Source organism: Homo sapiens, chromosome 2, assembly GCF_000001405.40.
Source record: "Homo sapiens chromosome 2, GRCh38.p14 Primary Assembly".
Taxonomy (NCBI): domain Eukaryota; kingdom Metazoa; phylum Chordata; class Mammalia; order Primates; family Hominidae; genus Homo; species Homo sapiens.
This window is the reverse complement of record NC_000002.12, coordinates 133265532-133289064: the sequence shown is the minus strand read 5'-3', so window position 1 is coordinate 133289064 and position 23533 is coordinate 133265532. Positions and strand designations below refer to the sequence as shown.

The 23533-nt window shown below is 38.2% G+C and overlaps 1 protein-coding gene and 1 long non-coding RNA gene across 19 annotated transcripts in view, besides 1 other annotated feature; one reads left to right on the top strand and one right to left on the bottom strand.

The window, feature by feature from the left end:
• NCKAP5 (NCK associated protein 5) overlaps positions 1–23533 on the top strand; it is a 1003049-nt gene that overhangs the window by 385772 nt on the left and 593744 nt on the right. The window lies entirely within an intron of this gene.
• On the bottom strand, positions 4307–22870 carry NCKAP5-AS2 (NCKAP5 antisense RNA 2). The gene is made up of 5 exons (NR_110294.1): positions 22769–22870; positions 21641–21792; positions 20623–20709; positions 20024–20149; positions 4307–4370 (listed from the first exon to the last, which is right to left on the bottom strand). It is a non-coding gene; the product is annotated as an NCKAP5 antisense RNA 2 (long non-coding RNA).
• Positions 22712–23335: an enhancer, noted in NCBI's record as "H3K4me1 hESC enhancer chr2:134023302-134023925 (GRCh37/hg19 assembly coordinates)". NCBI's record gives its function as "activates a minimal SCP1, AML or CMV promoter by ChIP-STARR-seq in primed H9 embryonic stem cells {active_cell/tissue: H9 hESC(primed)}" and the evidence as "EXISTENCE:reporter gene assay evidence [ECO:0000049][PMID:30033119]".

Here is a 23533-nt window from a genome sequence, read left to right as displayed (position 1 = left end):
CAATGTGGAGTTTAAGTCCTGACTCTGCTACTTACTCTGTGGTCTTGCAAAAGTCATTTAGGCTTTCTGGGCCTGAGTTTCCCATTGGTAATGAGAATGGTTTGGAAGAAATGACTTCGGCAGTTATTTCTTAAGAGTTAAAAATCTATAATTTTTACCTGTCATCTAGGTAGGCCAGTTGAAGGGTTGAATGATGAAGATAGAAGAGAAGTGATAGATGCATAAAATGGTTGGAAGTGGCAGTTTCCCTCCTTGAAAGAAGGCAGATATTAATTCTTTTATGAACCTAGCTTTCTTTATGCACTAACTCTTGGACTGTCTCTTGGCACCAAACCTTCCTGAGGTAATGAAACAGCATGCTGGTGGACCCAGGGCACCAGAGCAAGGTCAGGGCTGTGACCACTTTCAAAAGATTTTCCAGGAAATTATTCTATTGAATAATGTTTAAGTTTCCACAGAAGCTATAAGCAGAGTGTGCTGCAAAAAAAAAAAAAGTTAATTGTACAATATTAAAAAACAGAGCAGCAACTCTGAGGTTATGGTCCCTATTAAAGGAAATTGCATTGTCTGACGCTGTCTCTTCAATATTCTCTAGAAATTCAGACTCCCTGGCTAATTGAAAGCCAAATATGTATTTACCTGGATTTATTCAGTTATATTGGCAAATTGATTTTCTTGTTTCTCTGCTTTGGAGACAGAAATATGGATGGTATCAGTTGCAGAAGACCACTCTAAAATAGAAATTCTTTGACGTCACAACTGAGCAAAAGTTCTTAGAGTTGGATCAGATGTACACATTTAGGACCTTGGCTTTTGGGACCATTTGTCCCCAAGATGACATAATTCAAAATGTACCAAAAGTCACATCTATCAAAAAACATTTCTTCTGCTGGATGAACTGAAATTCCCATGCTCAGAATAAAAAAAAAGAATTGGTTATCCAGGAAGTCAGCCCTGAAATTTGCCATTGCCACTTGAGAATTCTAGCATCACTCTCTTAGCTCCTCATAATATCTCATCAGGGATTAGTTTGCAAACTAATACCCATGGAAATCTGAGTCCTGGAAGTTTTTTCTGTAAAACCAAGCATGTTTGGAATGGGAGAAAGGAAGTTGTAATAGAAATGTTATGGTACAAATCCAAATATTTCTATTTGTAACCACACACGTCCCTACTAACCTTGACCTCCTTTATTACTCATTATTTCTACACACGCACTCCTTTGTGGCCTCTCTCTCCATTCCAAATAGACAAGCCCTAACCATCCTTCAAGTTTCCTGCCTCCCTACCTCTTCACATGCATTCCTCAGCCCACCTGGGCCCAGTCTTCCCTGCTGAACTTGAGACTATTTCATATAAGTATACATAATGATGTATATCTTGTAAAAACTCTAAAATTATTTCATGTACCTTAGTATTGACTCTACAAATATTGTAGGTACCTGGCCTTACACTTCTGTTACACATCAAATGATGACTAACACAGGGTTGAACATAACAGGTGTTTAGCTAACACACATTGATCGATTTTCTTGAACAGGGAAATTAAAAGTTGTCAGCAATCAGACAAATGCATTGTCTGATGCTGTATCTTCAATATCCTCTAGAAATTCAGACTTCCTGACTAATTGAAAGCCAAATATGTATTTACCTGGATTTATTCAGTTATATTGGCCAATTGATTTTCTTGTTTCTCTGCTTTGGAAATAGAAATATGGATGGGGTCAGTTGCTAGTTAGACCATATCAAGAGCACTTAATTTGGATGTCAGTTACAGACACTACAATCCAAAGATTATCCACAAAGCTGGTGACTAAAATGGTACAAGGTTCACAATACTGAATTAATAATGATGTGAGGAATTGGAGATGTTTGCTTGACAAATAGAAGACTAAGAGATGGATAGATCTAATAATTGTTTGAAAATGGAATGAGTTGTCTTGTGGAGAAGAAATTTAGAACTAGAAAGGGCATTTCTCATACTTATTACCATCCCGAGGAAGGTATTCTTGAGATAGTGAGTTCTGTACCACTGCAAATGTCAAAGCAAAGTGGTCATCTTTCAGATATAGTATGGGATGGATTCTGCTACATTGGATAGGAAGAGATCAGACACCTCTTCTATTGAATGACTCAACATCTGCCTTTCACCCTTTGGCTCTAATGCTGTCATCAGTAGCTCCACTTATAACATCTCCCTGTTCTGTGTACCATTCCTGTTAAAGGATTTATCTAAAGACAGTTTTTCATGTTTTTTTTCGCAGTCTTTACTGCTTCAAAGGAAGATTCCTTCATTGGTCCTCATACAACTTGTTTTTCAGTCTTCATTTAGTCATGGCCACCTGTTGGACATATTCTAGTTTGTGAGTTTTCCTCTTGACATGTGAGGCTCCAATATAAACATAATATATTTTTATTATGACCAGATTACAAGTCCAGTTTTCATTATCCTTTGAGAGAGGGTTGTTATTCTAACTAACTTTATGATTTTTCCCCTAGTGGTACTAATTGTTAATAACCTTTAGGCAAAATACCTAAAATTCCAGCATTGCATCATGCATATCCAATTACTCTCTTGTGAACTCAAAGAATATAAGTCATTATTTCAGGAAAGGGCAAAGAGTGTTTTAAATTTAGAAAATCCATTCCTTTCTTTTTTCTCCACTACTCCTATACTTCCTCCACCCACTTTTTAATTGCCTTGTTCTGTTTCAGATCTTCCTTTTTCCAAGGCCAAGACTTTATTTGTGGTTAAGAAGTCACAGAAGAGGCCGGGCGTGGTGTCTCACGCCTGTAATCCCAGCACTTTGGGAGGCCGAGGCAGGCGGATCACGAGGTTAGGAGATCGAGACCATCCTGGTTAACAGTGAAACCCCGTCTCTACTAAAAAATACAAAAAAAATTAGCCTGGCATGGTAGTGGGCGCCTGTAATCCCAGCTGCTGAGGAGACTGAGGCAGGAGAATGGTGTGAACCCAGAAGGTGGAGCTTGCAATGAGCCGAGATCGTGCCACTGCACTCCAGCCTGGGCGACAGAGCAAGACTCCACCTCAAAAAAAAAAAAAAGAAGTCACAGAAGAATTAGTAATAATTACAAGTAAATTTGATAATTCCTGACCTTTTATTAGAAGATTACTTTAGCTTTCAAAAGGAAGGACGTGAGTTTCAGCTCATCAGTTAAATGAACAATAATTAATTTAACATGTATAATTTCAATGTTAAGGAATATTGGGAAGGATGGTTCTAGAACAAAGAAACAAAGCTCATGAGAAAATATGTACCTGGAGCACAGCCACAGCCAAAGTGAATTTAACTTTTGGGTGTCCTGCTGTAGACTGAGTTGGGTGCCGTAGGTGTTTACCGTGGTATACGTTAAGATTCTTCGAGTTGCTCTCGTATCGTGATGGTGATACGTGCATTATATAAAGGAAGACATTGCTTTTTGAAGATATAGTGTGCTAAGGGTTTCAGATCATTTATTCCAGAAATCCAATTCCACTATCCCCTCTGTGTGCCCCTCCCTCACCCCACCCCACCACCCAAATCCCTGAGAAGTTTATTTCTGGCCCATTTACTACATTAGCAAGAGAGTTTATTTTTCTAGCTCATTGCTAAACCATTATACTATAGAAATTCCATTGCCAAGCAGTTTTAAAGCAGAGCTGTTATCTTCCTCATCATAATTTTAAAGTTAGCATTTGAAAATCACTTTCAACTTTGGATAACAAATGAAAAATGATTATGTAAAGTTTACATTCATCTTTGTCACATTGGTGAAGATTTTGCAATAAATACTGTATAGATTATTTTTCCTGTCAAATGCTTGCTAGACATTGGAGTACATTAATTAGCTGGACCACTGTCAGATGTGGTCTGTGATATTTTCACAGAGAAAGCATGAGCTGAGATTGGGTGAAAGGCAAAAAGCAGATTCACTTGTCAGCAGGAAGCATTCTGAAGGGGGCCTGTTAGGGTGGCTTGGGAAGATCATTTTGGAAACAAGATACGTATATATGATAGAGGGTTTCTGACACTCCTGGGCTGGTGAGATCTTATTCCAAAGGAACATGTAATTAGGCTCACATTCCATTGTGGGTTGGGAATGGGCATGCTCTTGATATATGAATAACGTAAGGACATGCTTATAATGCAGTGAGAAGAGATTTTTGAATTGCTTCATGAATGTTTGCCTGTGTTGATGGGCAATCCACAAAAAGTTCAGAGGTTCAGGATGTCTGGAAGGTTTCCTGCTTCACATCTGAGCAAATCAAAGAAGAAATTGTGGATAAATCCTTATGAAAACTTTCTCATGGGCTTTCAAAGTCCTGAGTCTTCATGTAAAGTTAGAATGTGGAAATGTCCCTTATGCTCCTGTTTGGGAATAAAATGTTAGATATAGTTGTCTTGGTTAATATACAGATAGAGATTGGTTCCTTGAATGTCCATCTTCTATTCACAACCCAGGAACCTAGCAATTTCTCATGACTTCCAAAACACAGCCTTTGGAGAGTTTCACAAACAGAAGCAAGAATTGCCACGGTGCATCATGGCCACGTGCCATCTGTCTTTGGCAGAGTTGGCAAAGCAAGGACTTCTTTGATGTCAACTTCAAACATGCATAACATGACCCACACATACTATTTTTTTCTTATTAACTGTGTGATGGGCCAGTCATTAATTTATATAAGCCATTTAAAATCTGTTTTTATTTCCAACTTCTTCTACCTCCTGTTGGGTAAAGAGTTCCATCAACTTAATCCCTACTCTATGGGGTAGGGCTTCCTTTTATTTGTCCTAAACACAGACAAGCTTGAATTGGTGACTCCTCAATTAGACATTTTAGGGGTTAGTAATTAATTCTATGTTTATTCTATTTATATTATATACAATCATATATATATATATGCACAATCTTATAGGCATCATTCACCTTGCTTCTGACAAATGATACTCACAGAGCAACCACAAGAGTAACCCTGGACTCATTTTTGTTGTTTTCTTGATTATTTTATCTTTTAAAGTAACAAATACATTCAGTATTAGGATATGAGTTCTACAAGTTCTTGAGTCTGCCACTCTACAATTATGAGGAAATCATTTGATCACTGGATTCTTTATCTATAAAGCAAAAATTTAACTTAAAATTCCTTTTCAAGGCCGGGCACGGTGGCTCACGCCTGTAATCGTAGCACTTTGGGAGGCCGAGGCGGGCGGATCACCTGAGGTCAGGAGTTTGAGACCAGCCTGGCCAACATGGTGAAACCCTATCTCTACTAAAAATACAAAAATTAGCTGGGCATGGTGGCAGGTGCCTGTAATTCCAGCTACTCGGGAGGCTGAGGCAGGAGAATCGCTTGAACCTGGGAGGTGGAGGTTGCAGTGAGCCGAGATCCTGCCATTGCACTCCAGCCTTGGCAACAGAGCGAGACTCTGTCTCAAAAAAAAAAAAAAAATCCTTTTCAGCTTTATTATCTTTTGAATTTGTTTTGTGACCATCTAGAAAAATGTGAACTGTAGCGCTTACATTTAAAGATTACAGAAATAAAATTAACATCAAATAGCCATTTAAAAATTATAGTTAATGTTTTAGGTAAATAAAAGGGAGTCATAAACATAAAATTATAGAATGATTTTAGAATTATATCTATAGAATCTATAGAATGATAGAAATACATACAATTATAGAATGAGACAGTCTAGTGTGTGCTGCTGAATTACTGGGGGTGAACAAAGGACAAAAGGAACAAAGGAACAAAAGCTTCCTTTTAAAAAAAAACTATTTCTCCTCTACCTCCTTCAAATGGTCAATCTTACCCATTTTCCTGGCTTCTCATGATATTATGTTATCTTATTCATTGTATCCATTTTCATCCCTTCCTCTTCTTTAAAATCTCATTTAAAATGCCATCTCCACCAAAATGCATTCCCAAATTCCATATTAAAAATGAACCTCTGCTCCTTCTCTACTCCCATAATGTTCTGCTTATGTGAGTAGTATAAAACTTACTTCATTCTGATTTATGTTAAGGTAGGTTAATACCCTATGTCTTTCTTGTTAAACAATAAGCCCCTGGAAGAGAGAAATCATGTCTGTTTATCTTGGCATCTCCTTGGTGTCCAACAGTCAAGGATTGTTTTAATACATATGGATGATCATGGATTCAGAGCAATCTCATTGCTGCCAGTACTGAGGAAACAGGAATTCTGGTAGGAATGAACCATGTCATTAGTCTACCACTTGCTATGTTTCTACATAATTGTTGGGTTGACTTTCACTTTGCTCCCATTTCTCTTCTTTGTAGCCGTAGCTCTTTCTAGTGGGAGTCATTTACTTGAACTCCTGTTTAGCCTGGTGTAAGCCTTCTAAACCACAGATTAGAAGAGATTCATTCATATACCGTATTACCCAAATATGCATGCTATATGATAGCCCTATTCAGCATCTTCCACTGATTGCATCCATGTTATACATTATATGACCACACCCTAAGTTCATCCTCTGGCCTTCATATTACAAAAGTCCTGTTTTCAGTTTAGGTGTTTTTATCCCCCTTATCTTCCAATTCCCGTTAAAAATAAATCATTGCTCTGCTAATGGCTTGTTTCATACCTTCTGGATCAATGTTACTTATAAGGAAATCCTAGCATCTTTGATCTCTTTCATTTGGTCATGGGTCTTTTCTCAAGAATATCTGTTGTAGGCATCCCTACTGGGTCCAGGTCAGCATTCCTAAGACTGCCCACTTTTGTTTTTGCCCTCATCTCTGCTTTTGGCACTGAAGACCAGGGTGGCAGGTACAAAAGTTAAAAAGAAATAATAATACTTTATCATTATATGACAGTATTGTTCTAAACACTTCACAAGTATTAAGTCATTTAATCATCACAGTTTTATGAGGTTTAGTCTTCCCATTTTGCAGATGAGGGAAATGAAGCACAAACATTAATTAACTAGTTTGGCTGGAGGGCTGGGTCGTTAATCATTACCCTAAACATTTAATGAGTTGTCACTAAATATATCCAGCCCTCTTCCTTATAGGCACGTGATAGAATTGCAACTCCTGCTCCTCTGAGGATGGATGGGGTCATGGGACACGTTCTGGCCAATGAATTGTTAGCAAAAGTGACACTCCAAATTGAAGCATTTAACTGTGGGTCTGCAACTGCCCAACATGCTCTTTCTTCTTGCATGGCAACCAGCAGCTCTCAAGATGGTGGTTTCTCTAAAGCTGGGGTCATAAAATGATTACCATGAGCAGAGTCCCCACCAAAAGCTAGCATGAAGAAGAAATAGGCATTTGTTTCAAGCCACTGAGATCTAGGGGTTGCTTGTCACCATGGTACAACCCAGCCTATCCTTCCAAAATATCCTGCCTACACAGGCCAAAAATAGTAGAAAGGCAGAACACATTCTTTAAGTTCCTAGAATATAGTTCTTAACTTTTAAGAACTTGTGATGGTGCTAACATTTTTCAATTCCGTAGGTATCAATTTCAGCTTTCATTATTTCCTTTATGTTAATTTCCAATATCTCTCCAGAATACCTCTCAAAACTCTATTCCTTTCATAAGAAATTCTGAGGCCCAGGCTTCTTGATATTTTTAACGGTTTAATTACCAAATAGTGACTTTGTAATTTTAAGATTTTATAAGATATTTTAGAAATTTGGCAACTGTTGTAGTCCTAGTTCATAAAAATAAATAGATTGAAAAAACCCAAGTTTACATTTTGAAAAAAATATAATTTTGAATACACAAAGCACAATTTGAAATGATATAAGCAACTATACTTGTCTTTATAAACAAAGTTATAGTAGATATCCATTCATTAGGAGCACTGTATTTTAATTATCTAGAAATAATCTTGCTGTAGTTATTGCTGGCTATAAAAAGTTAATTTCAAAAGTTAATTAGCTAAAATCACTTCTATTCTTACTGTTAAAAACGGAATGTCACTGATATTCAGCAGCAATGTATGTGCTGTAGAACAAGTTATATCAGAAACTTGAAGACTCCTTAGAATTTATAACATGGATTTAATTGCTCTAGTTGTGTCAGTATAACTCAAAATTATAATCATTAATAGTTTTTTGAAAGTATGCATTCCTGTTTATGACATCTTGTAAGAGGGCAATATTTTCTGTAGCAGGGTCAGCACACTTTTTCTGTTAAGGACCACATAGTAAATATTTTTGGTTTTCTGAGTGGTACCCATATCGTCACTGTCACAAATTGCTCAATTTTGTAATCTTAGCTCAAGAACACCCACAAAGGATACGTAAGTGAACAGGTATAACTATTCCAATAAAGCGCTATTTACATAGAACTGGCAAGGTTTGGCCTGTGGGTGCCAATTCCTGATCTAGAATGAATTTTAAAAATTGTTTTCTTGGGATGTTTTGCAACCTTGATGTACTAACTCCTAAATAAGTAAATAAGAAGGATCTAAGTCATCACAAATTTGATTTCCTGTGCCCATGTCCTTCTAAGCCATCCCCTGGAGCCACTCTGCTAAGCCCCGGGACCTCCCTACTCAGGAGGCTGAGGTGGGAGGATGGCTCGAGCCTGGGAGGTGGAGGTTGCGGTGAGCCGAGATCGTACCACTGCACTCCAGCCTGGGCAAGAGAGTCAGACCCTGTCTCAAAAAATAAATAAATAAATAAATAAACAAACGAACAGAAAACAAAAGAAACTATCCCTATGCTAGGGTTAAGGGGTCAATAATGAATTTCTTAAATGCAAGTTTTCTTTAAATATATACCACCCTTCCCCCTTATGCAGCCATTTCAGACATGTGGATGCTAATCTAAGCCTCAATTGTGATGGATTTGGACAAACTTTAAAAATATGCATGTGTGTACATGAGGGAGAATTTTTTCCCTGTTTGTACTTAGGTTATTACTTTGCTTAAATAGAGGTCCTCAAATATAAAGGGAAGTATTCCAGTAAAAGTAGCATATAGGCATATAACAATAAATACAGGTACTATATATGTGTATGTGTATATATATGCATAGTAATTTCAGGAGACAGTCTAAAGAGGATCTGGATACAGATAATAAAATATCTAGAAGATGTATTATTAAAAATTGAAGTAATGAACCTTTTTTGGCTTAAGGATCATACACTTCTCATTCTAAGAACCTGACACATGAACCTGATTGTATTAATTTCCTAATGAATGATGGTTGTGTGAATAACTAAATTAAGACAAGAACATTCATCTTCAGAGTATGGTTGTGTATTTATTTGTTTTGTTACCAAGCCCCAGGAACTATTTAACCAGGCACTATTTAGTTGCATTCCATTTATACATTTCATTAATGACAATAATGCTATCATAGAACAACGGTGTGCTCAGTTGTGGCTGAAAAGTATAGAAAGTCCAGTAGAATCTTATTCTAAGTTGCTGTGCTGAATTCAGTTGGCCCTGGGCCATTGTCATAGAGGTTTAATTATTAAATAAATCTAATTTCCTTACTTAAGACTGGCTGTGATAAAACAGAAACTTAGTAACAACTGTGAAAAAAAAGTATATTGGACAACAATCTGGGTTAAATTCAAAATTAATAAAGCTATGTGATATTAGTTATGTAGGAGAACTTTTTTCCAAAATAAAATTTTTGAAAACAAAATGATTGTTTAGCCCTAAAAATGTTCAAATCAGCAAACATTTACTCAGTTCTATGCAGAGAGTGGTGTAGAAGCCCAATGAAGGACTGCAAATCTGAATTGTAGTATACAATCCAAACCTGACGGATAAGCCATAAAATAGGGATACAAATGGATATATAGTGACCAAGGATGAGTTAAGTGACATTTTAAGCAACAGTGGGCAGTGATAGTGCGGCAATAAACAAAGTGCCTATGCACTTTTGTATTATTGGAAGTACACTTTCAGGGTTAACTCCAAAAAGTGAGAATGTGTACTCAAATGGTAAATGAAAATAGAGTTTTGCTTATTGTCAAATTTTCCTCCAAAATGGTTGAACTAATTTATATTTCTACCAGCAATGTATAAGACTGCATGATTACCCACAGTCGCACCAATAGAATAAAGGATCAACATCTAAATGTCTCCCAATCTGATGAATGAGAGATAGTATCTCAGCGTAGTTTAAAACTTTATTTCTCTAGTTAAGAGTGAGCTTGACTACCTCTTCCTATGTTTAAAGGCCACTTGCGTGTCGTTTTGTGAATTGTTTGCCCATGACTATAGCCAACTTTTCTATTAAGTTTTTGGCCTTTCCCCCTTATTTTAAGAGGGTTTTTTTTTTTTTTTTTGTAGTTTAGGGATGGATATTAGCCTCTTATTTGTGATCACTACAAATGTTTTCTCCCATTTTGTCAGACGTCTTTCAATTTATTTTAAAAATATTTTTTGGTTTGTTTTTGAGTTTTTTCTTGCTATGTGTGGTAGGAAAAATAATTACCCACAAAAAAATACATATCAGAATGCTTAGAATTTTTAAAAATGTTACTTTACATGGCAAAAAGGACTTGCAGATGGTAAGAGCTCTGAGTTGAAGACATTATCCTGGATTAATCAGGTGGGTCCAGTGTAATCACAGGTCCTTGAAAACTAACAGCCATTCCTGGTTGTGGGCAGAGGGAGACGTGACTACAGAAAAGGGTAAGAGACATAAAGTTCCTGGCTTTTGAAGATGGAGGAAGGGGCCATGGACCAAGGAATGTAGGCAGCCTCTAGATGCTGGGAAAGGCAAAGAAATGAGTTCTTTCTTAGAGCCTCTAGAAAAAAATGCAGTCCTCTTGACATCTTCAGTTTACATCAGTGAGGCCTGTGGGGCTTCTAATCTACAGAACTGTAGGATGATAACTTTGTATTGTTTTAGGTCACTACATTTGCGATAATTTGTTACAGCAGCCATAGAAAGCTGATATACCATACTATTTTAAAAATTTTACATAGTCAAATTTACTAATCCTGTATGGCATCTGGAGTTTGAGTCATTGTCAGGTAACCATTCCTTTCATCCAGCTGATAAAGGAATTCACCTGTGGTTTTTTATTCCTTGTGATGGCGTGGTTTCATTATTTACATTTAGATCCTGGATCTATTTATTTATTCTTGTGTATGGTTTGGGAGGTATACATTTAATGTTATGTTTGGTCAAATGGCCAACGAATTGTCCCAGCACTGTTTGTTTAAAAAGTCCCTTCTTTGTGATTTGAAATGCCACCTTTATTGTATGTTGAATGTCCATAGATAATTGGATCTATTTCTGGATTTTCAAACCTGTTTCTCCCTGGTTGTCTAGACACGCACCTGCACCACACTGTTTTCATTTTAGAAACTTTATAGTAAATTTACTGTATACTTTATTTTCTCTTCCTGGATTTTCTTTCTTAGTGTTTTCCTGCCTTTTCTTGGAAGTTTCTTCACATAAACTTAAGTATTAACTAGTCTAGCTCCCAAAGAACCTTGTTATTTTTATTGGTATCGTGTTAATTTTATAAAGTAACTTAGAACGGACAGCTTTATAATCTTGAGTCATTCTGTTATAGAACAGCCAATGTCTCTATTACTTCACATCTATTTTTGTGATTTACAGGAGTTTTAACGTTTCCCCAGATAGGTTTTATACATTTCGACTTCTAATTTTCCCTACATATTTATTCATCTCTGTTGCTAATGTAAATGAGGTTTTCTCTATCAGTATATCCTCCACCAGTTTACTATCAATGTCTGTGAAAGCAACTGACTTCTATATATTAATTTTTACTGAATCTAAATTTTATCAAGTTAATTTTTTATCATAATTTTCTTCATTTTCCAGGAGTACTACCATGTCATCTACAAATACAGTTTTTACTTGCTCTTTTCCAATTATTATGCCTCCATTTGATTTATCTTGCATAATTGCATTGAATCCAATAAAATGTTTAATAGAAGTGGAGGCAGCGGACATCCTGGCCTTGTTCCTGATCAAATGGAGTGTCTCAAGTAGTTCCCCCTTAAGTGAGATACTGATGTTAGGACTAAGCATATGTGTGCATGATATGTTTTATGATGTTAAGAAAATATACATCAATTCCTATTTTCATCAGGAAGAGTGTTAAATTTTCAGTTTTCTCAAAGATTATTTAAACACTTGTGTAGAGAATCTTGTAATTTTTTTCCTTTAGATTTATTAACAGGGTGTCATATACTAAAGGATCAATTAATATTGAGCCAAACTTGCATTCCTGGATTAAATGTCACTTGGCCGTGATATTTTTTTAATGTAGTGTTACATTGTTTTGGTCATATTTATTCACTATTTTTGCAGTGATATATATAGTGACATCACCCTGTCATTTCATTTTTTTAAAACTGACTTTTGCAGGTTAAATTATCAATGCTATATTTGCTTTATAAAAATAATTAGAAAGTTTTTCTTCATTTTCCATGTCCTGAAGTAAATGTGGAGCATTGGAGTGGTCTGCCTTTGGGAGTTTGTTTTGGGCCTAGAGATGTTTTTGTGGGGTGGTATTTTTTTTTTTCTAGAAGAGTTGATTAATCTTTCTATCTCTAACAGAGCCAATTTTGGTAAATGTATTTTCCAAAGAAAGTTTCAATTTTGTCCATGTTTTCAAGTTTTTTCCATGTATATGACGTCTATAAAGTTGCCTCTTAATTTTTGTTTCTGTAGTTAGTTCCCATTTGTCATTTCCTATCTTGTATAATTGGCCCTTGAACAACATAGGAGTTAGGGGTGCTGACCCCTGAAGAGTCAAAATTCCCTGAATAACATTTGACTCCCACAAAAACTTAACTATTAATATGGTATTGTTGACTGGAAGCCTTACTGATAACATAAAGATTCTATTAACACATATTTTGTATGTTATGTGTGTTATATACTGCAGTCTTACAAGAAAGTAAGCTAGAGAAAAGGAAGTACTATTAAGAAAATCATAAGGAAGAGAAAATGTTTCCTATTCATGAAATGGACGTGGATCATCATAAAGACCTTCATCCTCTTCGTCTTCACAGTAAATGGGCTGAGGAGGAGGAGCAAAAAGAGGAAGAGTTGGTCTTGCTCTCTCAGGGGTGATAGAAGTGGAATGGGTGGAGGAGGTAGAACGGGAGACAGGCATACTCTGTATAACTTTTATTGAAAAAAAAATCTGTGTATAAGTAGATCTGCACAGCTCATACTGTGTTGTTTAAGGGTCAACTGTTTATTGGTGATTTATTCACCTCCCTCATTTTTTTCATGATTAAGTTATGTAGTGATCTATTTAAAAAAGAAAGGCAACTAGATTCTGATTTGTTAATTTGTTACTACATTTTACTGTTACCCTTAATTCCTTTCTTTTGGTTATTTTTCCTTTTGTGCCTTTGAGCTGAAATTTTATTTATATTTTTTAATTTTCATTGATACACGTGCATAGGACTGCCAATTTTTCTGTAACCACTGCTGTAAATGCATCCGGTAGTTTTCACTGTCATTTTTCAGAAATTTAGAAATTTTGGTTTGTAATCTCTTTCATTGAAGAGTTGCTTAAATGTTAGTTTTCTATTTTTATTTTTAAATAATTTGTTTTATTGCATTGTTATCAACAGGTGGTATTTATAATGGTTATACTTTCCAGAACATACTGAAGTTTGAGATTTAATATAATGGATTTCGTGCGAGTTCCATGTGTGGTTGTGTGTATGTGTGTATGTGTGAGCCTTTTCCGTGAGTACATAGATATGGGGTTCCTATGTCACAGAGTACGAACACCTTCAACTTAATAAATATATCCAAATTATTCCCACCTGCAATGTGGAAGAGGTCTTTCTACACATCCTCACCAACACATAGTGTAATAAGAATTATATTTTGGAATTATGATAGGCATGAAATGCTACCTCATTGTTGTTTTAATTTGCATTTCCCCAGTACTGATATTAAGCAGTTTTAATATAGTTATTGCCACTTAACTATCTTCTATGAACTGCCTATTTCTATGCTTCCCCCCACTTTTTTTTTCACTTTTTCCCACTGATTTGTGGTTCTTTACAAATTTAGGATATGTATTCTGTTTATAATACATATTTTTCATGGTTCTTCTAGTCTATGCCTTGACTTTTCATTTTGTTTATGGTTTTTTTTTTACAAAGTTTTAAAATTTTAATACAGTAAAGTGCTTCATTATACTTCCCCGCCTGATATGAAAGTATCCTCCAAAGCATTCTTCAAAAAGTCTTATAAATTTGCTTTTTATGTTTAGTTTTTAATCTGAGTTTAGGTTTTGCAAATGGCCTGAGGTAGGATTCTAATTTTTTTTTTTCCATTATCACATAGAAAGTTAACCTGGTGCCATTTTTTGACAGTAATCCTTCCCCAATAATTAATAATGCCATTTCTTTCATATACCCTGAGTCCATAAATGTGAGTCTGTTTCTAGGGTCTCTTTCTATTCCAATTAACCCACATCTCTTACCTGTTGAATTACATTGTTTTATAGTAAGGTACCTGACCCTTTTTGGAATGTTAGAGGTTTCACATTTACTAAATATATTTGGCTAATTTGGGCCTTTTCCTTTTTTGAAATAAATTTAGGACTCGCTGGTAAGTTGAGTGTATAAATCTGCTGAGATTTTGGTTGATAATGTTTCACATTTAAAGATTAAGCCAGAAGATTGAGTCTTCCAATCCATCACTTTTATATGTTTTACTATTTACTCCATTCTTTTAAGCCCTTCAACAAAGTGTTCTCTATAAAGGTGTTTCACATCTTTAAGTTTATTCGTATCTTCTAAATTTTTTTTTGTTCTTACTATTTTTAAGTGGGATCTCCTAAAAAGTATACACTTCTAATAATTTGGTACATATCTTAAGAACACTATCCATTTTGGTATATTGTTCTTTTATCTAGTAAACAAACTGCTCTCTTACTATATCTGATTTGCCTCTGGGTTCTCTTCCATTTTCTGTGGAGATGCTGATAATATTGGTGATAAATAATAACTGCTCTAAGACCTTAGAGAAAATGAAGTGGTGATGGAAGGATCCTTGTCTAGAGGAAAAATTTAAAGGAAATGTTCTTTAACTTAACTATTTAATATAAGGCGTGTTATAGATTTTTTTTTTTTTTTTTGGTAGACAAACTTTATCAGGTTAAGGGCATTCCCTTTTATTCCTGGGGAGGTGAAATGTTTTTTAATTTATTTTTTTTTAAACCCTGAATAAGTGTTGAATGTTATTAAAATTTTCCAGCATCTACTGAAATGATTATCTTTTTAATTTTTTTTATCTTCCCCCAAATTTTTTTTTGGAAATTAATAGATTTTTCTAGGGCCAAATCATCTTTACATTGCAGGATAAATCTTATTTAGTAACACCATTTAATTATAACCATTATTATTACTACTGTTATAATTTTCCACACTGATGGATTAAGTTTTCTTAAGAATTTTTGAGAGCCTCCTTAATTTTCCTTTCCCATACAGCCTATATTTACTTTTGGTATCAGAGTCCTTCTAACCTGATAAAAATATTTCTTCCTCTTCCCTTCCCCTAGTTTTCCCCTTTCCTCCTCCTATTCTTCCTTTTTTCTCCTCCTCCCCCTTCTAAAAAATTCCCTGTAACTCTCTGTGAGATATGGGTTATTAGAGTTTCTGTATTTTTTCAAGTTTTGTGAAGATTGGGTAATGAGCCCCTGACTCAACAATCAAAAGACAAATAACCCAATGTGAAAATGGACAAAGGAGTTGAAAAGAAATTTCTCCAAAGAAGACACATACAAATGACCAATAAGCACATGAAAAGATACTGAACGTCATTAGCCATCAGGAAAATGCGAATAAAATTCATGAGACATCACTTTATATCCTCTAGCATGACTATAAACAAAGGATAAAAGTGTTGGAGAGGCTGTGGAGACATTAGAACGCTGAGACATTGCTGGTGGGAATGTAAAATGGTGCAGCTGCTTTGGAAACTAGCTTGGCAGTTCCTCAAAATGTTAAACACTTACTATAGGACTCAGCAATTCCACAGCTTAGGTATATACCTAGAAGAAATGAATACATATGCCCACACAAAAACTTGTACATGAATGTTTACAAAAGCATTATTTATAATAGCTAAAGAACAGAAACAACCCAAATGCCCATTAACTGATGAATGGATAAATAAAATGTGGTGCATGAAGACAGTGGAATATTATTTGGAAATAAGGAATGAAGCACCAATACGTGCTACAACATGGACAAAACTTGAAAACATTATGCTAAGGGAAAGAAGCCAGAGAAAGGGCTAAACATTGTATGATTCCATTTATACTAAGTGTCTAGAAGAGGCAATTCTACAGGGATAGAAAGCAGATTGTTGGTTGCCTCTGGCTGGAGAATGAGGAGTGAATGTTAATAGGTACTTTTTGGGGGTAAATAAATTGTTCTAAGGGGATGGTGATGGTTGCATAACGGTGCATATGCTAAAAACAAATTCAACTTGGGTAAATTTTATCTCAAGGAATAAGTTTAAAATTTTGGACCTATGTTTATGCAGCAGCAAATTTTTTTTCAACTACTGATTCAATCTATTTGATTGTTCAAGATTCCGTGGATTATTGAATTTTATTAAAAGTTTATTTTAGGACATTGATCACTTTATGTCAATAAGTTTGAAAACAGATAAAATTGCTCATAGTAAAGTAGTCCTATTTTTAAAATCTATTTTATCCTTAGTTATATAGTCTTTATTATCCCTAAGCTTATTGATTTATGTCTCCACTGTTTTTCATTCATATAACCAGACTTTGTTTTATTGATCCTGTATTGATTTGTGTTCTCTTTTATTAGACTTTGATTTCATTTCTTTTATTCTATTTTTTTTTGTTCTGTTTTGTTTGGGTACTTTGAACATTTATTTCCATTTTTCTTCATTTCTACATGTCCACTAAAATTATTAATCTCCTTCTACATACTCCTTTCTTTCCATCTTATAATTTGGATATTTTTGAGACATCAAGTTCTAAATTTTTCTAATTTTCCTATAATTACTTTTTGAGCATGGATTTTTATAAGTATATTTTGCTCAATTTTTATTAAGAAAAATTTCAAATATATAGAAAAATTAAAAGACCAGAATAATAAAATATTTATCTGCACACAACTTAGCATCAACAAATGTTAATATTTTTACTTCACAGATATTTTTTCCAAAATGTGTGTTAGATACCATGATACTTCAACCCCAGATATTTTAGTATGTGTCTTTTAAAAATAAGGACTACTTTCTTTATAACCACAGTATCACTTTTACCCCCAGAAAAATTAATGAAAATTCTATTATATCAGCTAATACCAGTCTTATTTGAATTTCTCTAATCGTGTCCCAAATGTCTTTTATAGCTGCTTATTTTGCACTGATGCCCAGTCCCATTAGTTGCATTTGTCACGTCTCTTTCAATCTATGATAGTGCCTCTACTTTTTTAATTCTCTATGAACACTGACTTTTTGAAGACCTCTAGCAAGTTCCATATTCCGCTATGCCTAATGGTTTCCTTGTGATGTCATTTATCTGTTCCTCTATCATCTTTATTTCCTGTAAGGTGGGAATTATAGCAAAGGCCTTGCTCAGACTCAGATTAAACATGTTTTTTTGCAAAAATATATTGCAAAAAACTTTTCATACAGCATCACATAAGGAGAAACATGTCAGGTGATTTCTCCCTTGTCTAATACAGCTTTTCCCCTTCGCAGTTAACAAAAAGTCAGGAGGCAGTATTTGTAGTTGGAATATTCTATTGTTACTGTTGGAGGGTGTCCAGGTTCTTGGCTTCTTAAGCAAATAACTTGATAAAACACACAAAGCAAGGAAAGAATGAAGCAACAAGGCCGGGTGCAGTGGCTCACACCTGTAATCCTAGCATTTTGGGAGGCCGAGGCTGGTGGATCATGAGGTCAGGAGATCAAGACCATCCTGGCTAACACGATGAAACCCTGTCTCTACTAAAAATAGGAAAAAAAAAAAAAAAAAATTAGCCGGGCCTGGTGGCGGGCCACTGTAGTCCCAGCTACTCGGGAGGCTGAGGCAGGAGAATGACGTGAACCCGGGAGGCAGAGCTTGCACTCAGCTGAGATCATGCCACTGCACTCCAGCCTGGGCGACAGAGTGAGACTCCCTCTCAAAAAAGAAAAAAAAAAAAAAAAAATTTGAAGCAACAAAAAACAAAAGTACACTCCGCAGGGTGGGAGCGGGTCCAAGAATAGGATCCAAGAGCCCCAGTACAGAATTAGAGTTTTCCCATTGGTTACTTGGTGTACACCCTATGTAAATGAAGGAGTGGCCGGCAATCAGTCGGAGGGAAGCAACCAATCAGGCTGAAGTGAAGTTACAAAGGTTACACCCTATGCAAGCATCTGATTGGTTGTGGAAAGCAACCAATCAAAGATACTTTCAATTTTCCATCTGCCACGCAGAAAGGAGAGGGTGGTTTGTAAAGGGAGCAGCCTCCAGTACTTTTGTTGCTTAAGTGTGGAAAGTTGGGGTTTTCCTTTTGATTTAGCTTTAGGAAGTCAGCGTGAATCGGCCTTAGGTTCTCTGCCTCCAGACCCTATTCACCTACCTCACTATTTTCCATCAAACCTTTACTTAATGGCTTTAGCATCTATTGGTGATCTTTATTTACATCAGTTATTTCAATGGGTATACAAAATGGTGATACTTCCGAAGCTGCTTCTTCTCAGATGGGAAAGTTCCATATTCTCCCTTTTAAAACATGAGAGTAAGTTCTTTGTTTTTTAATAATTTTTTTAAGGTTTAGTTTACGTACAATAAAATTCACCAATTTTTGAGTGTACAATTGGATTATAACAAAATATAGTTTTGCAACTACCACCACAATCATGGTACAATTGTCTATTCAACATCTCATTTTGGTTGGCAAACATTAATAACAATAATAATCACCACCATAAACATTTGTATGGCACTTACGAAAAGTCAGGAACTATTCTAAGAGCTTTACGTAAGTTATTTTTAAAATTTAACTTAATAGGCATTCCAGTCTTAACCCATATAAGCTGATTCTTCCACCAAAATTTGCTCCACCCATAGTCTTTCTCATTTCAATTAATAGCAACTTCATCCTTCCGGTTGCTAGGGCCAAATGCTTGGAGTTACTCTTTACTCCCTCTTTTCTTTCGAGCCACTCATTGTTGGCTCTACATTCAAAGCAATTCAAAATCACCACCAATTCTCATTATCTTTCTTGCTATCACCCAGTCCAAGCCATCATCTCTTACCTAGATTCTTGCAATAGCCTAATAACAGATCTCCCTGCTCCCTTCTCTGCTCCTATAATTAATTCTCAACATGGGAGCCAGAGTGATCTATTAAACAAAAGTCAGATGATCATGTCACTCCCTCTGTGTCTTGTGTCCTCCGCTGTCATTTGGAGTAAAATTCCAAGTCCTTTAATTGGCCCCACCCAGTGATCTGTCTTCTAAGCCTACCCTCATTGACCTCTCCCTTCACTGTGTCCTGTTCTCAAGGTTTCATTAATGTTCCTAGACCTTGCCAGGTGCAATCATATTTAAGGGCCACTTACACCTGCTTTTCCCACTTCCTGGGACCATCTTCCCAGATATTTGCATGGCTTGCCTGCTCCCTCACCTCCTTTAATCATTCATTCAGGCTTAGCATTCTCAGTGAGATTTTTACTGAGAACTCTTGTATTTAAACTTGTGCACCACCCAGCCCACTCTGCTTTATTTTTCTCTATTGCACTGATTACCTTCTAATAGACATTATAATTTACTTATGTACTCTTTTCTAACTTGTCTTCTCCTCCAGAATGTAAGCTCCACAAGGTAAAAAATTTTTGTTTGATTTTTCCTTCATATATTCCAACACTGACACATAGTGATTGTTCAATAAATAATTGAGTAAACATGAGATGATATATTTTGAAGTTAAGACCAAGGAATTAATAAATTGGAGGTGGGCCTGTCAATTTAGGCTATAAGTTAGCTGTGATGCAACTGAGACCACCAAGCTAGGAAATAACACAGTAGAACTTACCAATTTCTTGTGCAGGATGGTGCCAGAAGCCTAGTAGTTGACACTCGGCTCAACTCTTCTCTTCCTGGACAACAGCAATTTCCTGGACAATGTTAGTTAAATTAGTCACCAGCATGATACTTCATTCTGTAAGAGAGGACCCTTTTTGAAATACTCATTTCTTGGCACCATGTTAATTTTAGCAAAATTTTTATTGAATAGTAATAAACACATTAAACAAATTATCAATGAAAAACTCTAAACTTAAATATTCATAAAAATTCTGTAAAATCGGCCGGGTGCGGTGGCTCACGCCTGTAATCCCAGCACTTTTGGAGGCCGCGGCGGGCGGATCACGAGGTCAGGAGATCGAGACCACGGTGAAACCCCGTCTCTACTAAAAATACAAAAAATTAGCCGGGCGCGGTGGCGGGCGCCTGTAGTCCCAGCTACTCAGGAGGCTGAGGCAGGAGAATGGCGTGAACCCGGGAGGCGGAGCTTGCAGTGAGCTGAGATCGCGCCAGTGCACTGCAGCCTGGGTGACAGAGCGAGACTCCGTCTCAAAAAAAAAAAAAAAAAAAAAGGCTGTAAAATCTAACCAGTAGTTGTCCTTGACTTACATGATTTGCTTACTGGGAAAGTAACACTTGAGCTCCACTTTGCCTCAGCTATAAAGTCACCATGATGTATGTAGTTTTAATTCTGACCTGTAAATCAAAATTTCAAACCATCAGTATTCATAGAGTGTCCATAGTTGCCTAGTGCTGTTGTAAGCACCACTGGGCTATAAAATAAGTGGAAAACACAGTCTCTGCCTAGATAAGTGAGTGCTTAATGTGGCTTGCACACATTTCTCAAGTATAGCATAAAGCAAAAGAATGATTTGAGCCCTAATTTAGAATTTTATTCAGTTTTCACAGTAAATTATATTTATTTTTGCTTAGCTCTTATACCTATCTGAATAAAGGGCTTAAAATTTTCTTCAACTTTTCCACTGGTGATTTGTTTATCCAACAAATTATTTCCCAAACAAATACTGTCATTCAAGGTAATTGGACATTTCCCAGCACTTGAGAAGAATGTATAAAACTAGACATAATCCCATTGGTTGTGTTCTTCCATGCTTTAAGACTTGTTTGTATGTCTCTAGGACTACTGCCATTTATATTATACTTGAAAACATTTTTTTGAGATAATCCTTGTGAATCTATCACCAGTACAAATATATGTGATTGTATTAAAGTGGAATTTTTGGAATAGTTCAAAGTATATTATTGAAAGGAGCATCTCATTTCATCTACAGGTGGAGCAATTTCTGCTTGGAAAATTTTCAATTTTTGAAGTCATTATTTTCTAATAAAATAGCATTTCTTGAAAAATAGTATTTTCATGAGAAAAAGAAAAAAAAATATGCGAATCTTTTAAATTCAAAATGAGGCTAAGGGGAATTCAGCGTTTTCTTGCCCAAAGCAGATTTCCTTTTATCTCTGGAAATGCCAACAGGAGGCCAAGGGCCAAGCTTCCTGGCCAATTACACTACACTACACGGCCGTTCTCCCCCCCAAGAGCTTTATTCCCAACTGCACTTGGGAACCAACTTCTGACTCCAGACAAATGGCTGTTAGTTCCAGCTCTTACCTGCCAATTATGATACTTTGGATATCTGTGCCAGTCTCTGGGTCAGCTCCATGATAAGATTAAGAGACCTGTTTGTTTAGTTCATTAGCAGACATTCGTTCCACCCAGACAGAGCTGAGGCTGGGGGTGGGGGCGTGAAGGGAACCAGGGACCTGCGGGAATAGATTTTTTTTTTCTTACTAGGAAATGAAAGCACTATTTCCCCTTCTGGATCCCTGCTTCCCTTTTCAGTTCCTCCGTTAGGGGCAGACAATAGAAGGCTCCAGGCCCCCTCTCAGGGCGCCCGGTCCCCATCGTCCCCTCACCCCCACCTCCCTTCCCCGCCCCTCACTCTCCAGCTTCTCCAACTCCAGCTCCAGGCGGAGATTTGTCAGAACCGTTCGGTTGAGACTGATTATGATTGCAGCAGATGGGCTGGATTTGACAGCGCCGATCCTAAGCAGCTTCTGATGGGGGGGCCCGGCGGAGGGGAGGGGAGGGGGAGTGGGTAGGGGGTGGGAATCGATGGGCCCCAGCCTCCTCATCAGAGCGCAAGCCGAGCCGCCCGCCGGGCGCTCCCAGGCAGATCTTTAACGCGCGCCTCCAGGAGGAAAGTGGCACTGCCCACCCGAGGGGCCTCCCTGAGCGCCAGTGAAACGTCCCGCGGCAGGAGAGGGCTCGGGGACACTGGCAGGCAGGCGCAGGGGGACTGGCGGCGGAACACAACAAAGCGGAGGAGCGCGAGGTGCCCGGGCTGCGGTGAGCGCGTGGCCCAGGCTGCCTCCGCGCTCTGGACATGGCAAGTTTGGCAACTCCCGGCTCTGCAGCGCGCGCCTTGCTGCCCCCGAAGTGAAGGCGCTGCGGAGTCAACCCCTGGGGACGCAGCGCCCACCCCGCCCCCAGCCCGCAGCAGCATGCTCCACCGAAGGCCAGGTAAGGAGACGCCAGCCCACTCCCCGCCCAGGCGCGCCCCCTGCGCGCCGCCACCCTAGCCCCAGCCCTTCGGCACCTGGCTCCCACTACCCCGTTCAGTCCTTGTCCCCGCAGACTGTATGCTTCCGCGCCTCCCGCCTGGGTCTCCTTGACCCCTCTCTGCCCTCTGACTCAATGCCTCCCTCAAGGTCCTGAGTCCTGTCCTTTCCCCTTTACCATAGCCCGACGGCAGGGGGAGAAGTTTTGGGAGGTGGGGCGAGGTTAGGGGCTCTCCCTTCCCTGAAAGCCTGCACCAGGACACCTGAAGGGGGACAGTCTGTGGGAGTCGGTCCGTGTGTGCGCATCCCCGCCCAGCTCCCACGCAGCCCGAGCCCCGCTCTACAGGCGCGCACACACGCCCTCCTCTCCACCTGTGGGGCCTCGCTTTTGTGTGGGAAGCACAAATGAAAACACACACACGTGCAGAAACACTTCCACGTTGGCATCTTCCAGAGACTCCTAAAGGGTGGGGGCGTAAAGGGGCTGCAGGGGAGGGGCAGATCTTGAGTTCTGTGGTCCTCCCAAGCAGAGGGCCAGCGCCTCTCCTGTCGCTTGGCCTTGACTCCAGTGTCTAGGGGCCACTGGAGTGGCGCCTTTCCCGGGCCGGGAGGCCATTGGGTTTGGCAGGGGCATAGCTGTGCCACTGGGAAAACTCCCTCCCTGCTCCCCAGCGAGGTCAGAGGCCTGGGCCACTCCCTGGCCCGGCCCCAGCAGGGCGCGCCTGTCCCCACCTAATGCCACGATCCCCCCTCCCCCACCCTCCGCACTGCCTCCCTTGCGCGTGTAGGGGAGATCCCTGACCTTGTCTGCCCAGCTGCAGGCCACTTGCCCAGGCGGCCCCTCCCTTGTTGCCACCTCCCGCCCAGCTCACCAGGAGCGTGTGCCCTGTTGCTACTGGCAACTGCCTGTGCCTAAAGCTCAGCCCCCAAACTGGCTTAATGC